Source organism: Homo sapiens, chromosome 9 (assembly GCF_000001405.40).
Source record: "Homo sapiens chromosome 9, GRCh38.p14 Primary Assembly".
NCBI classification, from domain to species: Eukaryota; Metazoa; Chordata; class Mammalia; order Primates; family Hominidae; genus Homo; species Homo sapiens.
In genome coordinates, this window is record NC_000009.12 from 137,499,410 (window position 1) to 137,515,176 (window position 15,767).

At 54.5% G+C, this 15,767-nt stretch overlaps 1 protein-coding gene across 12 annotated transcripts in view, besides 13 other annotated features; it reads right to left on the reverse strand.

Moving 5' to 3' along the window:
- Positions 1-15,767, reverse strand: part of PNPLA7 (patatin like domain 7, lysophospholipase) — a 90,451-nt gene that overhangs the window by 39,458 nt on the left and 35,226 nt on the right. For all 12 annotated transcript variants that reach the window (XR_929794.2, XR_929793.2, XR_001746292.2 and 9 more), the window contains 4 exons: positions 6,574-6,674; positions 6,205-6,351; positions 2,241-2,318; positions 1,282-1,487 (listed from right to left, as the gene is read on the reverse strand). Coding sequence is in view for 8 of the 12 variants with exons in the window: in XM_047423367.1 (XP_047279323.1) it covers positions 1,282-1,487; positions 2,241-2,318; positions 6,205-6,351; positions 6,574-6,674 (532 nt within the window). In the remaining 4 variants the exon portion in view is untranslated. The remainder of the gene's footprint in view (positions 1-1,281; positions 1,488-2,240; positions 2,319-6,204; positions 6,352-6,573; positions 6,675-15,767) is intronic.
- Positions 973-4,223: a meiotic recombination region, noted in NCBI's record as "meiotic double-strand break mapped by DNA meiotic recombinase 1 chromatin immunoprecipitation followed by single-stranded DNA enrichment and sequencing in the germ cells of some male individuals with the PRDM9 A/A, PRDM9 A/B and PRDM9 A/C genotypes". NCBI's record gives the evidence for it as "EXISTENCE:chromatin immunoprecipitation-seq evidence [ECO:0000229][PMID:25395542]".
- Positions 973-5,888: a biological region, named in NCBI's record as "9q34.3 PNPLA7 recombination region".
- Positions 1,379-1,391: a nucleotide motif, noted in NCBI's record as "nucleotide motif; similarity to the predicted 13-mer PRDM9 A binding motif (LD hotspot motif), CCNCCNTNNCCNC".
- Positions 3,024-5,888: a recombination feature, noted in NCBI's record as "recombination_hotspot; locus 1 recombination breakpoint sub-region, resulting in a terminal deletion". NCBI's record gives the evidence for it as "EXISTENCE:DNA microarray evidence [ECO:0005524][PMID:19293338]".
- Positions 3,447-3,462: a nucleotide motif, noted in NCBI's record as "nucleotide motif; similarity to the predicted 16-mer PRDM9 C-type binding motif, CCNCNNTNNNCNTNNC".
- Positions 4,033-4,048: a nucleotide motif, noted in NCBI's record as "nucleotide motif; similarity to the predicted 16-mer PRDM9 C-type binding motif, CCNCNNTNNNCNTNNC".
- Positions 4,052-4,067: a nucleotide motif, noted in NCBI's record as "nucleotide motif; similarity to the predicted 16-mer PRDM9 C-type binding motif, CCNCNNTNNNCNTNNC".
- Positions 4,071-4,086: a nucleotide motif, noted in NCBI's record as "nucleotide motif; similarity to the predicted 16-mer PRDM9 C-type binding motif, CCNCNNTNNNCNTNNC".
- Positions 4,090-4,105: a nucleotide motif, noted in NCBI's record as "nucleotide motif; similarity to the predicted 16-mer PRDM9 C-type binding motif, CCNCNNTNNNCNTNNC".
- Positions 4,128-4,143: a nucleotide motif, noted in NCBI's record as "nucleotide motif; similarity to the predicted 16-mer PRDM9 C-type binding motif, CCNCNNTNNNCNTNNC".
- Positions 4,163-4,178: a nucleotide motif, noted in NCBI's record as "nucleotide motif; similarity to the predicted 16-mer PRDM9 C-type binding motif, CCNCNNTNNNCNTNNC".
- Positions 4,182-4,197: a nucleotide motif, noted in NCBI's record as "nucleotide motif; similarity to the predicted 16-mer PRDM9 C-type binding motif, CCNCNNTNNNCNTNNC".
- Positions 4,224-4,239: a nucleotide motif, noted in NCBI's record as "nucleotide motif; similarity to the predicted 16-mer PRDM9 C-type binding motif, CCNCNNTNNNCNTNNC".

The window sequence follows — 15,767 nt, forward strand, 5'->3', positions numbered from 1 at the left end:
GAGCTCTGCCCTGGGTGGTTCCTGTCCCTGCTCTTCGCCATCCGTCCTGATCTCCCTGGCACTGATGTGGAGCAGCTGGGGATGCTCAGGAGGGAGATGGGTCCAGCTCCACCCAGGGTCCCCTGCTGGTGGAGGGACCGGGACTTGGAGCCTCAGTCTCCCCATCAGCACGCTGCGGTGTCAGGGCACCCGGCATCGGGACCTGGCTGGAGCCACTCAGGCCAGGCCTGGAAGACAGAGGCCATGCAGAAAGCCCTTCCCAACTGGGCCAGGGCCCCGCTGCCCCCACCCCTGCCCCTTGCCCGGCTCGGGGTCCCCAGGCTGAAGCAGCAACGGCGCGGTGCCATTTGCTGGATTACAGGCGTGAGCCGCTGCACCCAGCCGACCTGTTTTCTTCAGCTGCTGTGCTTCCACTGACCTTCAGGCTTCTGACCTCTCCTGCTGCCCAACCACTCAGGCAGAAGAGCTCTGAGACCACAGCAGACATCTGGCCTATGAGGGTGCGGAGGACTTCCAGAAAACACACACAGAACGGCTCAAGCCACCAGAGGCGAGAGCTGGGGTTAAACTGAACCCCAGGCTCCAGGAGATTCTGGACCTGACAGAGCAGAATGCCCAGTGCCGTGGATGCAAAGACGTGGCGGCTCTGCCAGGCAGCCACAGGCGGGCCGAGGGCAGCTCTGGGCCTGGAGGGGCCAAATCTGAGACTTACGGGCTGGGGTCAAGTGGACAGATGTCTTCCAGCCCGGAGCCTGGAAGGCGACACGGGCACATTCTGCCCCAAGAAGGGACACACGTCAGTGGGGCTCCTCCCCCGAGCCAGAGACGCGTCCTCACCCACTGCCTTGCCCTTCCACCTCCGCATCACTGGCTCCCGACACGTCAGCCCAGGCTGCAGAGGTGGGACGGCTCACGGCCCCTGAAGCCCGGCCCTGCCCCAACGTGGGCCTTGCTGAGCCAAGCTGGGGAGCCCCAGAACTGACCAGTGATAAATGGACACGGCTGAGACCAGACCACAGACCAGTGATAAATGGACACAGCTGGGACCAGACCACAGAGACGGCCGTGCGAAGCTGATCGCTGCGGGCAGGTGGGGTCGGCTGACTGAGCGCTGGAGCAGGGGGCACAGACCTGGGCCCACACAGGTGCCGGGGACAAAGAGGGGAGCCCGAGAAGCAGGGAAGAGGGTGAGAGCACCAGGAAGAGGCCGGCCACGCGGGGAGGGGTCTCAGGGCAGGGGGGGCTGGGGCCCGCCCTGAGGTCCTGGCCCGTGGGACTCACTCATAGAAGTGGGCCTTGGAGATGGACAGGAAGCTGCAGTCCCTGTTGGCCTTGACGGTGAAGATGAGAGGCTCCCCGGTGAGCACGGCCAGCTGGCCCACCATCTCCCCGGGGCGCGTGAGGAACAAGCAGGTGTCCTCCTGGCTGCCGATCTTCCGCTGGTACACGTGCAGCAGCCCCGAGACCACGAACAGGATGCTGGCGTCCTGACACACGAGAGGGCTCAGGAGGCGCCGCGAGTGGCCGCGGGCAGGACGGGGGCAGCTCTGGGCCCAGAGCGGACGATGCCACCAGGCTCAGCCGGGAGACCATCCGCCGACCTGATCAGCTCTGGGCATGGACTTCACTGGAAACATTTCGGCAGCGTCTACGGTTTCATGATTTCACGAGCAGTCGTGGAAAATCTGGGTTCTCAAGGGCTCCGTGCAGCGAGCCGGGCCTCGGACCTGCACACCTTCCCTCCCGGCACCCGCATACTGACTGTCCCTGGCAAATGCGCGTCAGCCCAGCATTCCTGTGCACGGGGGGTCCCATGCCGCCTCGCCTGGGGCCTGGCCTCTGAGGGGTGGGCTCCTGGCCCCTCCCACACTGAGCCCCCGGCACACGCCACGCGTTTTGGTCCCACATCTGCAGATGTACCCATGAAACCACTCCAAGGCCACTTCCACTGATCTGTATCCACTGTGACCTCTTATGACCTCTTCCCAATCTGCTTGCCCGGCCCACTCTCAGGTGCGAGCAGAAGGGCCAGTGCAGCAGGGGCCAAAGGTGGACACAGCTCTCAGGGCTCAGGGCTGCCTGAGGGGAGGGGCTCTGCCATGGTGCCCAGAGGGGCAGTGGCCCGGTGCTGGGAGGTCCCCAGTCACTGGTGTCCAGTCCAGGCCCTCCTCTGGTGCTCCACTTGGCACTGGGCTATGGCATTGGGTGGTCCCAGTGCCCCCCCCCAGACCCCCGCTCACCTGGTCTCCCTGCCTTGACACCACCGTGCCTGCAGGAACGTGCAGAAGCGCCACCCGGCCATCCAACAGAGATGAGTCCTAAAAACAGAGCAGACTTCAGGGAACACGGGCGGGAAGCATAAATGAAGGTCCAGAGAACAGAGGCTGCACTGGGCTGTTCAGGGGCAACGAGCGGTGAGGCCAGAGGCCGGGCAAGGCCCTCCTCCGAGGCTGTCCTCCAACAAGGGCCTGATGGACACTGGGCACCCTGCAGAGCCACCGATGCCAAACCAGGGCATCGGCACAGAGACAGACACCAAACAGTGGAGCAAGGCAGAAAATGCAGAAACAGACACTCGTATTTTTGTGAATTTACGTAAAAGAGAGAGGATGTCATTTTAGGGAGAAAGGGTGATTTCTTTATAAGTGGTGCTGGCATAGCCAGCAGTGGGATGCCTTCTCCACACCACCTACAGAATGATGCCCTCCAGGGCACGAGGACTCTGGAATCTGGGAGCTCCCAGAGGTGACCCGGGAGTGCCCAACACACTGGAACCCAGAAGGCAGAGGTTGCAGTGGACCCGGAGCCTGTGGAGAGGCCCTGGGGCAAACCAAGGGTGAGGGAGCGTCTGCGGGCACCACACCCACGAAGGTTTGAAACATCAGGTGTGTAAACCCCCAGTCCACAGTGATGATGAAATAAAAATAAGAAGCCCCACCCAGCATCTTTGGAAAATGATCGAAAAACAAACCATTAAACTTCCCAAACCCTGACGGTGAAGGGGGTGAAGGCAGCTCCCCCCCAAAAGAGAAATGACATCACATGTCGCCAAAAGTTTGTCAAACAGGAGGGAGAAAGAGATGGAGGAGGATGAGAAGAATCTGAGCAGCCACATATCCAGCTCTCAGGCAGAGGACGGCCGCTGACGGAGAGGCCGCATCGCCCCAGGGCGCGTTGTCAGCCCGAGGAGGAGCCGTGGGAGGTTCTTCAGGAGAAGAAAGCGGCCTCCCTGAGGAAAGCAGCTGCACTAAGAAAGTCAGAGCCTTCGGGAGATGAGGGGGACGGGGGGGACGCGGGGGACGCGGGGGACGCGGGGGACGGGGGGGACGAGAGGGATGTGGGAGCCGGCCACGGTGACATGGACGAGGCCGCTGGACAGGGGGGCACTGAACGCACGGCTGAAGTCATTTGGCCATTTTAAGGATTACTGTTAAGTATTCAGAAATGATAAGAGTATTGTGGTTAGAGATGAATCCTGAAATATCCACCAGTGACGTGCTATGATGATGGGATTTGCTTCAAGGGGGGGCACCCGAACGGTACGGAAGGGGTGCAGAGAAAACAAGGTGGGCTGTGGTGTGATCGTTACTGTGAGGGATGCTAGGTACTCACCTTCACATATTATTCCATCTATTCTATATAGTTTTGAATTTCCCATAATTAAAAAGTTGTTTAAAGAGAGAGAAGACTGGCTGGGTACAGTGGCTCATGCCTGTAATCCCAGAATTTTTGGAGGCCGAGGCAGGTAGATCACTAGAGGCTAGGAGTTCAAGACCAGCCTGGGAAACATGGCAAAACCCCGTCTACACTAAAAATACAAAACTCAGCTAGGTGTGTTAGTGAGGCCTGTGGTTCCAACTACTCAGGAGGCTGAGGTGGGAGGATCACTTGAGCCCAGGAAGTGGAGGTTGCAGTGAACTGAGATGGCACCACTGCACTCCAGGCTGGATGACAAAGTGAGACACTGTTTCCAAAAAAGAAGAAGGAAGGAGGAGGGAGAAGGAGAAGAAAGAAAGAAGGAGAATGAGGAGGGGGAAGGAGAAGGAGGAGGGGGAAGGAGAAGGAGGAGGGGGAAGGAGAAGGAGGAGGGGGAAGGAGAAGGAGGAGGAGGAAGGAGAAGGAGGAGGGGGAAGGAGAAGGAGGAGGGAGAAGGAGGAGGAAGGAGAAGGAGAAGGAGGAGGGAGAAGGAGAAGGAGGAAGAAGGAGGAGGGAGAAGGAGGAGGGAGAAGGAGAAGGGGGAGGAAGAAGGAGAAGGGGAAGGAAGAAGGAGAAGGGGAGGGAAGAAAGAAGGGGAAGGAAGGAGGAGAAAGGGAAGAAAGGGGAAGGGGAAGGAAGAAGAAGAAAGAAAAGAAAGAAAAAGAAGAAAAAAGAAAGAAGAGAATGAAGAAGAAGGAAGAAGGAAGAAGATGAAGGAAGAAGAAAGAAGCAAGAAGAAGAAGGAAGAAGAAGAAGGAGGAGGAAGGAAGAAGAAAGAAGAAGGAAGAAGAAGAAGGAAGAAGAAAGAAGAAGGAAGAAGAAGGAAGAAGAAGAAGGAAGAATGAAGAAGAAGGAAGAAGGAAGAAGAAGAAGGAAGAAGAAAGAAGCAAGAAGAAGAAAGAAGAAGGAAGAAGAAGAAGGAGGAGGAAGGAAGAAGAAAGAAGAAGGAAGAAGAAGAAAGAAGAAGGAAGAAGAAGAAGGAAGAAGAAGGAAGAAGAAGAAAGAAAGAAGAAGAAGAAAAAAGGAAGAAGAAAAAAGAAAGGAAGAAGAAGAGAAGAAGACGGAAGAAGAAGGAAGAAGGAAGAAGAAGAGGAAGAAGAAGAGAGATTTTTTTTTTTCCTTTGGGACAGAGTTTCACTCTTGTTGCCCAGGCTGGTGTGCAGTGGCGCAATCTTGGCTCACTGCAACATCCGTCTCCCAGGTTCAAGCAATTCTCCTGCCTCAGCCTCCCAAGTAGCTGGGATTACAGGCACGTGCCATCACACCCAGCTAATTTTTGTATCTTTAGTAGAAACAGAGTTTCACCATGTTGGTCAGGCTGGTCTCGGACTCTTGACCTCAGGTGATCCACCTGCCTCGGCCTCCCAAAGTGCTAGGATTACAGGCATGAGCCACCACTCCTGGCCAGAAAAGCAGATTTAAGAGATAGATCAGCCCACTGCAGTGTATGGCCCTTACTCAGATCCTGATCTGTACAACAAGAAACCACTGAGAACCACTCATGACACAGTCAGGGGTCCAGGAACACGCTGGGTGGGTGAGCAATCGCAGCTTTTTAACATTTCACTTGCAGAACGACACCGTGGTGATGCCTCAGAAGGAGTCCTTAACCGTTAGAGAGGAATGATGTGAACTTATAACGTGTTGGAGATTTTTGAGACAGAAAATAACTGGGGGAGGGACTAGGAGTACAGCTGTAAAGTGATTAGCCATGATTGGTAATTACGGAATTGGGTGACCAGTGCATGGGAACTCATGACACCATCACGGCTGTCTTTTTACCTATTTAAAGCTTTCCATCAGCCGGGCGCCGTGGCTCACGCCTGTAATCCCAACACTCTGGGAGGCTGAGGTGGGCAAATCATTTGAGGTCAGGAGTTCGAGACCAGCCTGGCCAACATGGTGAAACCCCGTCTCTACTAAAAATACAAAATTTAGCCAGGTGTGGTCGTGGGCGCCTGTATCCCAGCTACTTGGGAGGCTGAGGCAGGAGAATCGCTTGAATCCAAGAGGTGGAGGTTGCAGTGAGCCGAGATCATATCACTGCACTCCAGCCTGGGCGATACTGCGAGACTCTGTCTCAAAAAAAAAAAAAAAAAAAAAAGCTTTCCATCATATGTAAGAAATTAAATCCTAGATGAACTAATGATTGAATATTAAAAAGTAATAAAAATAAATTATTAAAGTGAAGCTGGGAAAATGTCATACTACAATAATCTGACACTATTATTGCTGTATTAAATATAAACATAGATGAGAATTCTAAAGTTCAGCTTTGGGACACCCTGATGTCCCAGAAAGCTTCGGCTTTGAGTTTGAACATAAGGCGATCTCAAGCTGCTAGCTTCCCAAAGGGGACCCCAAAAGACAAGCAAGCCTGCACTCCACCCAAAACACCTCCTTTGCAGCCACTGTCCTCCACACCTGGAACCACTGCCCAACAGAGGCAGAGAGGAGGCCACGGGCCCTGGGTGGGACAAGGGCCAGGTGCCCGCCGGGGCCACTCACTTCCAGCTTCATCAGGGTGAGCAGGTCCTTCTTGGCAGCTCTGAAGATGGCATCCGACTTCCTGCTGGCCAGGGTCTCATCCGTGTGACTCTCTGAGTGCTGGGAGACCGTGGAGGGTATCTCTGCAACCATCACGCTTTTCCTGGACTGGAGAAGAACGGAGATACCGGCAATTCGAAGGGATGTGGTTGGGGAACATCGCACAAGGGTGTGGTCAGGTCTGAATCGCACAGTGCGGAAAGGCCGGCTGAGCCTCCTGAAGCTGCAGGTGCCACATGACACCAAAGCCGGCGGCGCCCCCAATGCACCAGCAAGCCACGGAGAGGGTGGGGCCCCAGGCGGAGGGTGAGAATGACAGCCAGGGCCTACCTTGCTGGCCACGGAGCTCCCGGGGTGCTCGTCCGAGTGCAGGAAGACCCTGGCACGGTCACATGCCATCCCCAGATCAGAAGTGGCACTGCCTGGGCCCCCTACACACAGAGGGGACACTCAGGACACGGTTCGCTAGGCCACTGACACAAACGTCCGCGGTGTGGGCTGAGCACACCCTGCAGTCTAACCACACAGACCCCGGCAGCTCCCTCGAGGGAGTCGGGCCCTGAGATCCCTCCACACCCTGCTTTCTTTCGGCATCTGCCTCAATGGCTCTGTGACCCACCAGCTACAGGTTTTCTCCGCAGCTTAAACCCACACGGTGCCTTCAACATTTCTGGGCACTGATAAAGGTAGCCCGGTCGGTACCTAAAACACGGAAGGAAACCAGCCCTGGTCCTGAGCCAAATTCCTCAAACCTTGCCATGCGTGCCACACCCTGACGGCTCGCTGCGGCCAACCCTGGGTAGAGCACCCTTTCTCTTGCTGTCCATCTCAGGGATGCTGCCGCCCTCTGTATGTGAGCTCCCCTAACGGGTGCCCTGGGCCGTCACGCTGGTGCTTTGGGCTTGGCTCTTTGCAGTCCCAGCCCCATCTCAGAGGTTCGCTCTTCGCAGTCCAGCCCCATCTTGGAGGGAGGGGGTTGAGGCACCCCCTCCAAAGAGCTCCCCTGTTGCTGCTTTTGGGCGGCCTCGGGCTGAGCGGGATGAAGCAGTGTGCACCCTTTTACAGCCTGCCCTCAGCATTACACATCACTACACACACAGCGTATCTGACCTCTGGACCAGCTGCTGTGGATTCTGAGGAAGGGTGCACGCTTTGCACGACGGGGTCACGCACTTCCAGGCACAGATCCAGCCCTTCGTGTGCAGCTGCGCATGCGAGCGAGTCATCTGCACTGCGGTTTCCCATCCATACTGGAATTCGCAACACCCATTTCTCAGCGGAATACAGAGGAACCGCGCAGACACTAACCGCAGACACATGCCACACAGATGCCGCAGCCACATGGCGCTGCGGGAAGGAACCAGGCCCAGGAGCACAGCCATGTGCCCCTCCCTGGGAAGCCAGACACAGAGAGCCAGGAGCGCTGGGCCTTGGAAAGGGGCGCATGTCTCCGAGGCTTACGCTGAGGGTGCGCTGGTCGGGTTTCACGGAGCTGGCACCCTTCAGCCCGGTGCACTGTGCTGTGTATTACTCATGCCCCCGTCAAGTCCTGCTGTTTTTTAAAAAAATCCGAACTGGAAAGCAATCTATGGCAACAAAGGTCACCAGTGCTTCCTCTGGGGCTGACCCTCTGGGCTGGGCGAGAGGAGCGCAGCAGCCCCTTTACCTGGCTGCAGCCACACAGGGGAACACTGGGGTGTAATGACCACACCTTGTACGTCAACAAGCATGTAGCTAAATGATAAAATTTCTCACACCTATAGTCCCAGCACTTTGGGAGGCTGAGGCAGGCAGGTCGCCTAAGGTTGGGGGTTCGAGACCAGCCTGACCAACATGGAGAAACCCTGTCTCCACTAAAAATACAAAATTAGCCGGGCGTGGTGGCACATGCCTGTTACCCCAGGTCCTCGGGAGGCTGAGGCAGGAGAATCCCTTGAACCCAGGAGGCAGAGGTTGCGGTGAGCTGAGATCGCACCATTGCACTCCAGCTTGGGTGACAAGAGCAAAACTGTGTCTCAAAATAAATAAATAAAATAAAATACGGGGGCCAGGCATGGTGGTATGCACCTGACAAGAGCAAAACTCCATCTCAAAATAAATAAATAAAATAAAATACGGGGGCCAGGCATGGTGGTATGCACCTGTGGTCCTTGCTGCTCAAGAGGCCAAGCCGGAAGGATCGCTTGAGCCCAGGAGTTTGAGGCCTGGACAACATAGTGAGAGACTGCATCTCTTAAAAATAAATACATAAATAAATGGGCCAGGTGCAGCGGCTCATGCCTGTAATCCCAGCACTTTCAGAGGCCAAGGTGGAGGCAGCGCTTGAGGCCAGGAATTCAAGACCAGCCTGGGCAACACAGCAAGAGATCTCTATCTACAAAAATTTTAAAAACCAGCCAGGTGTGGGGGCCACACCTGTGGTCCCAGCTACCCATGAGGCTGAGGCGGGTGGATCACTTGAGCCCTCATGGGCTGAGGCAGGTGGATCATTTGAGCCCAGGAGCTCGAGGCTGCAGTGAGTTGTGATTTCACCACTGCACCCCAGCCTGGGCCATGGAGCAAGGCCTTACCTCAAAAAAAGAAAAAGAAAAAGTGGTGGATCAACTAGATAGCCATTTAGAAAAGGATGTATCAGCCGGGCGCGGCAGCTCACGCCTGGAATCCCAGCACTTTGGGAGGACGAGGCGGGCGGATCACGAGGTCAGGAGATCGAGACCATCCTGGCTAACACGGTGAAACCCCGTCTCTACTAAAAATACAAAAAATTAGCTGGGCATGGTGGTGGGCGCCTGTAATTAACAGCTACTCGGCGGCTGAGGCAGGAGAATTGCTTGAACCCCAGAGATGGAGCTTGCAGTGAGCTGAGATCGCACTATTGCATTCCAGCCTGGGCAACAAGAGCGAGACTCTGTCTCAAAAAAAAAAGAAAAGGAAAAAGAAAAAAGAAAAGGATATATCTTGACCCCTACTCACTTTCTACAAAAGAATAAATTCTAGATGGATCATATGAAAGGTAAAACGTTAAATCTTACAGACAGATTTCTTAAACAGGACACAAAATATATTAACCACAAAAGAAAAATATTGATAAATTAGATCCCATTAAGTTTAAAATTTCCTATTCATCAAAAGACACCACTACGATAGTAAAAAGTGAATAGAAAATATTTTTAATATACATACTTGACAAAGGAATCATACAGAGAATATATAAAGAATTCCTATTAATAATAAGAAAATGAAAGCTAAGAGGAAAATGGGCAAAAGACAAAGAAGGCTATCCAAGGTGCTCGGCCTCACAGTTCATCAAGAAGACAGAATCAGAGCACAGGCAGCCTCCACTGCACGCCCACCAGAAGACAGAGAGCAGCACATGCTGGGCCGGAAGTGGCCGCTAACCATGGGCGGCCAGTGAGCACCTGAAGTGTGGCTGGCATGAGTGAGTTTAGCTGGTACGAATGAGTTTAATTGGCATGAGTGAGTTTAGCTGGCATGAGTGAGTTTAGCTGACATGAGTGAGTTAGCTGGCATGAGTGAGTTTAACTGGTATGAGTGAGTTTAGCGGGTACGAGTGAGTTTAGCTGGCGTGAATTTAGCTGGCATGAGTGAGTTTAGCTGGCATGAGTGAGTTTAGCTGGTACAAGTGAGTTTAGCTGGTGTGAGTGAGTTTAGCTGGTACGAGTGAGTTTAGCTGGTACGAATGAGTTTAGCTAGTACGAATGAGTTTAGCCGGTATGAGTGAGTTTAGCCGGCGTGAGTGAGTTTAGCTGGCATGAGTGAGTTTAGCTGGTATGAATGAGTTTAGCTGGTACGAATGAGTTTAGCTGGTACGAGTGAGTTTAGCCGGCGTGAGTGAGTTTAGCTGGCATGAGTGAGTTTAGCTGGTACGAATGAGTTTAACTGGTGTGAGTGAGTTTAACTGGTGTGAGTGAGTTTAGCTGGTACAAATGAGTTTAGCTAGTATGAATGAGTTTAACTGGCGTGAATGAGTTTAGCTGGCATGAGTGAGTTTAGGTGTCAACAGTCACATGAGGCTTGTGGCCCATGATGCACAGCACAGGCATGGAGCAGCCACAGCAGTCGGATGAGGCTGAGGAGTAGACGCTGGTGTCTGTGGGCGGCAAGCCACCCAGGCACTGAGGCAAGAGACAGAGGACACGAGCTGTTCCAGTATAATAAAATATAAAACAAGAATAGTTATACCAGATATAGATCTTAGGTATGATTATATATGAATATCATTAATCATTAGTTGGTAGTAATTACTCTTTATCCCAATATTATAATAATCCTCGCTCTACAATCATAACCTAGGAAAAACCAGGCCATACAGAGATAGGAGCTGAGGGGACAAAGTGAAGAGTGACCAGAAGACAAGAGTGCGAGCCTTCTGTTATGCCTGGACAGGGCCACCAGAGGGCTCCTTGGTCTAGCGGTGACGCCAGCGTCTGGGAAGACGCCCGTTACCAGGCGGATCATGGTCCAGCGGTAGCAAAAGGTGTCAAGGAACAACACCCGCTACTTAGCAGACCGGGAAAGGGAGTCTCCCTTTCCCCGGGGAGTTTAGAGAAGACTCTGCTCCTCTACCTCTTGTGGAGGGCCTGACATCAGTCAGACCTGCCCACAGTTATCCGGAGGCCTAACCGTCTCCCTGTGATGCTGTGCTTCAGTGGTCACGCTCCTAGTCCACCTTCATGTTCCATCCTGTACACCTGGCTCTGCCTTCTAGATAGCAGTAGTAAATTAGTGAAAATACTAATAGTCCCTGATATGCAGAAATAATGGCGTAAGCTGTCTTTCTGTCTGTCTCCTCTCCCTCTCTGCCTCGGCTGCCAGGCAGGGAAGGGCCCCCTGTCCAGTGGACACGTGACTCACGTGACCTTACCTATCATTGGAGATGACTCACACTCTTTACCCTGCCCCTTCTGCCTTGTATCCAATAAATAACAGTGCAGCCAGACATTCGGGGCCACTACAGGTCTCTGCACATTGGTGGTAGTGGTCCCCCGGGCCCAGCTGCCTTTTCTCTTATCTCTTTGTCTTGTGTCTTTATTTCTACACTCTCTCATCGCCGCACACAGGGAGAGACCCACTGACCCTGTGGGGCTGGTCCCTACAGGTGTCAGTGCCTGAAACGCCACCAGGCAGTGCCCCCGTGTGGGCGGAAAGTCACCCAGGTGCCGAGGCATGAGACTGAAGGCACAAGCTGTTCCAATATAATCAAGAAAATAGTTAGGATAAGAGAAAGTTATATTCGAAATAGGATATAGAGATGAATGTATATGGATATTATCAATCATTAGTTTTCTGTATTAACCTTTGTATGATTATTATAACCAAAGAAAAACCAGGCCACACAGAGTTAGGAGCTGAAGGGACATTGTGAGAAGCAACCAGAAGACAAGAGTGTGAGCTCTCTGTCACGCCCAGATAAGGGCCGCTTGAGGGCTCCTTGGTCTAGCGGTAGTGCCAGTGCCTGGGAAGGCACCCGTTACTTAGTGGACCTTGGTCTGGCGGTAGCACCAGCGCCTGGGAAGGCACCCGTTACTTAGTGGACCTTGGTCTGGCGGTAGCGCCAGCGCCTGGGAAGGCACCCGTTACTTAGTGGACCTTGGCCTGGTGGTAGCGCCAGCACCTGGGAAGGCACCCGTTACTCAGCAGACCTTGGCCTGGCGGTAGCGCCAGTGCCTGGGAAGGCACCCGTTACTTAGTGGACCTTGGCCTGGTGGTAGCGCCAGCGCCTGGGAAGGTACCCGTTACTCAGCAGACCTTGGCCTGGCGGTAGCGCCAGCGCCTGGGAAGGCACCCGTTACTCAGCAGACCTTGGTCTGGCGGTAGCACCAGCACCTGGGAAGGCACCCGTTACTTAGTGGACCTTGGCCTGGCGGTAGCGCCAGCGCCTGGAAGGCACCCATTACTTAGCAGACCAGGAAAGGGAGTCTCCCTTTCCCTGGGAGAGTTAGCGAGCACTCTGCTCCACCAGTTCTTGTGGGGGGCCTGACATTCCCCAGGCCTGCCCGCAGTCATTGGAGGCTTCAACGTCTCCCTGTGGTGCTGTGCTTCAGTGGTCACGCTCCTTGTCCGCTTTCATATTCCGCCTGTACACCTGCTGCTTCTCTTAAGTTCTTAGAAGATAGCAGTAGCAGAATTAGCGAAAGTATTAGAGTCTTTGATCTCTCTGATAAGTGCATAGAAGAAATGCTAACGTCTGCTGTCCTCCCTCTCTGCTTCAGCTACCACAAAGGGAAAGGCCCCCTGTCACGTGGACAGGTGACTTGCTTGTCCTTATCAATCACTTGAGATGACTCACACTCCTTACCCTGCCCCCTTGCCTTGTATACAATAAATAGCAGTGCGTCCAGGCCTTCAGGGCCACTACCGGACTCTGCGCACTGGTGGTAGTGGCCTCTGGGCCCAGCTGTCTTTCCTACTATCTCTTAGTCTCGTGTCTTATTTTACTACAATCTCTCGTCTTTGCACATGAAGAGAAAACTCACAAGGCCCTGTAGGGCTGGACCCTACACCCCTGAGCCAAGCACACGTGACTCCATGACCCAGCAGCCCCAACAGAAATGTGTACACGCTCGTGCAGTGGACGCACAGACGTAAACATTCACACGGCGAAGCCTGCACCACCACGAGAAGGTGGGGAGGCTTCTCCACATGACGGCATGGATGGACCTCCCCACGGGACGTGGAGCAGGGAAGCCAAACACAAACGCACACCACACGGCTCCACTTCTGAAAAGGAAAACAGGCCAACCTCACCTCGGCTGGCAGCCATCGGGACGGCAGGCAGCCGTGGTGGGGAGCAGGTTTTACAACCAGACATGGCTGCTGGTGGTAACAAGAGGAGCATGAACGGGGCTTGCAGGGGCTAATTTATGTTTCTTTACCTGGTTCACAAGTGAGTTCAGTTTATGGAGTCATCAAACCGTCCACCTGCAATGTGCGTCCTGCATGCGCATTATACAACCATCACTAGTTAATAAACAAACAACAACTGGGCCAGGTGCTGTGGCTCATGCCTGTTTCCCAACAGTTTGGGAGGCTGAGGCAGGAGGATCACTTGAGCCCAGGAGTTCGAAACCAGCCTGGGTAACATGGCAAGACACCCTCTCTACAGGAAACAAGAAAAATAAAAAGAAAATACAAAAAAAAAAAATGCCAAGTGCAGTGGTGTGCCTGTACTCCCAACTACTCAGGAGGCTGAGGTGGGAAGATCACTTGAGCCCAGAGGGTTGAGGCCGCAGTGTGCCATGATCTCACCACTGCACTCTAGCCTGGGCCACAGAACGAGCCTCTGTCTGAAAAAAAAAAAAAAAGCTGTTACTTAAACAAAAAAATCCATGTAGATTCAGATACCTGATGCCCGATGGCACAAAAAAAGCAAGAGAGAGATGACAGATTGTTTTATTAATGGTGTTGGGTAAATTATCACCATAAAGAGTAAGGAAAAGATGAATTTCTTCCCTCATTCTTGCAGTATAAACTACAGATAAATGAAAGACCTCTATGTGAAAGGCAAAACTAAAAGCTAATAAAAATAGTCTTTGAGGCCGGGTGCGGTGGCTCAGCCTGTAATCCCAGCACTTTGGGAGGCTGAGGTGGGCGGATCACCTGAGGTTGGGAGTTTGAGACCAGCCTGGCCAACATGGGGAAACCCCGTCTCTACTAAAAATACAAAATTAGCCAGTTGTGGTGACACCTGCCTAAAATAGGCTGAGGCAGGAGAATCACTTGGACCTGGGAGGCAGAAGTTGCGGTGAGCTGAGATCACACCATTGCACTCCAGCCTGGGCAACAAGAGTGAAACTCTGTCACAAAAAAAAAAAAAATTAAAAAACAGAAATAAATAAAATAGTCTTTGGAAAATTTATTTATGACTCAGGAATAAGGAAAGAATAAATAAGACCCAAAACACAAATCACAGGTGCCAAGGCAAAAAGCTGGCTTTCCACAAAAGAACATCAGGGTCCCTGTTGCGTGAAGGTCCCGTGGCGGCATTTTCCAGCCCATGGACAAGAGGGAAGAGAATCTCCAACAACTGAAACTAATGAGACAAGAGGGAAAAGAATCTCCAAAAAAAACTAAGGAGACAATGGGGAAGAGAATCTCCAAAAGTGAAACTAACCAGGGACCTCTACCTACAGCACATAAAGAATCAACACAAATCAACCAAACTCCAGAATCCTGCAGAAAGTGGGCAGAGAATACGACCAGACAATCTGAGAGGGACGCCCAGATGGAACCGAATACAGCAGGAGCCAATGAGCTTGCCGGTGACCTGCGGGTGGCAGACGGCAGAGGGGGCAGGTCTGCGGCAGGAGCACGGCTGCACTGCCGGGCAGGATGGACTTGGAGGCTGCCCTGAAAATGCCCTGGGCCCTGTGGCTGGGCTGTGGGCGGGTCACCTGACTGTTGAGGTGCCCGGGCCCTGTGGCCGGGCTGCGGGCGGGTCACCCGGATGTTGAGGTGCCCGGGCCCTGTGGCTGGGCTGCGGGCGTGTCACCCGGCTGTTGAGGTGCCCGGGCCCTGTGGCTGGGCTGCAGGCGGGTCACTCGGATGTTGATGTGCCCGGGCCCTGTGGCTGGGCTGTGGGTGGGTCACCTGGCTGTTGAGATGCCCGGGCCCTGTGGCCGGGCTGTGGGCGGGTCACCTGACTGTTGAGGTGCCCGGGCCCCGTGGCCGGGCTGCGGGCGGGTCACCCGGATGTTGAGGTGCCTGGGCCCTGTGGCTGGGCTGCAGGCGGGTCACTCGGATGTTGATGTGCCGGGGCCCTGTGGCTGGGCTGTGGGTGGGTCACCTGGCTGTTGAGATGCCCGGGCCCTGTGGCCGGGTCACCTGACTGTTGAGGTGCCCGGGCCCTGTGGCTGGGCTGCGGGCGGGTCACCCGGATGTTGAGGTGCCCGGGCCCTGTGGCCGGGCTGTGGGCGGGTCACCCGGCTGTTGAGGTGCCCGGGCCCTGTGGCTGGGCTGCGGGCGGGTCACCCGGATGTTGAGGTGCCTGGGCCCTGTGGCTGGGCTGCAGGCGGGTCACTCGGATGTTGATGTGCCCGGGCCCTGTGGCTGGGCTGTGGGTGGGTCACCTGGCTGTTGAGATGCCCGGGCCCTGTGGCCGGGCTGCAGGTGGGTCACCTGACTGTTGAGGTGCCCGGGCCCTGTGGCTGGGCTGCGGGCGGGTCACCTGGATGTTGAGGTGCCTGGGCCCTGTGGCTGGGCTGCAGGCGGGTCACTCGGATGTTGATGTGCCCGGGCCCTGTGGCTGGGCTGTGGGCGGGTCACCCGGCTGTTGAGGTTTTGCTACACATCAGTTACAGCAAAGGTCCCTGCGGGGAGGCACACGTCAGCAGGGCTGGGGAAGGAAGGGAGGCTTGCTAGAGACCCGGGACACAAGGCAGGAGAGGGACCATGCAGGGAGGGCGGGAAGGGCCGAGCACATGGCTCTGCGGGGCATCTGGTGGCACCGGCCCAGCCCTGGCGGTGGTGGGGGTGAGACAGGGCAGGCACGCAGAGGAGCACAC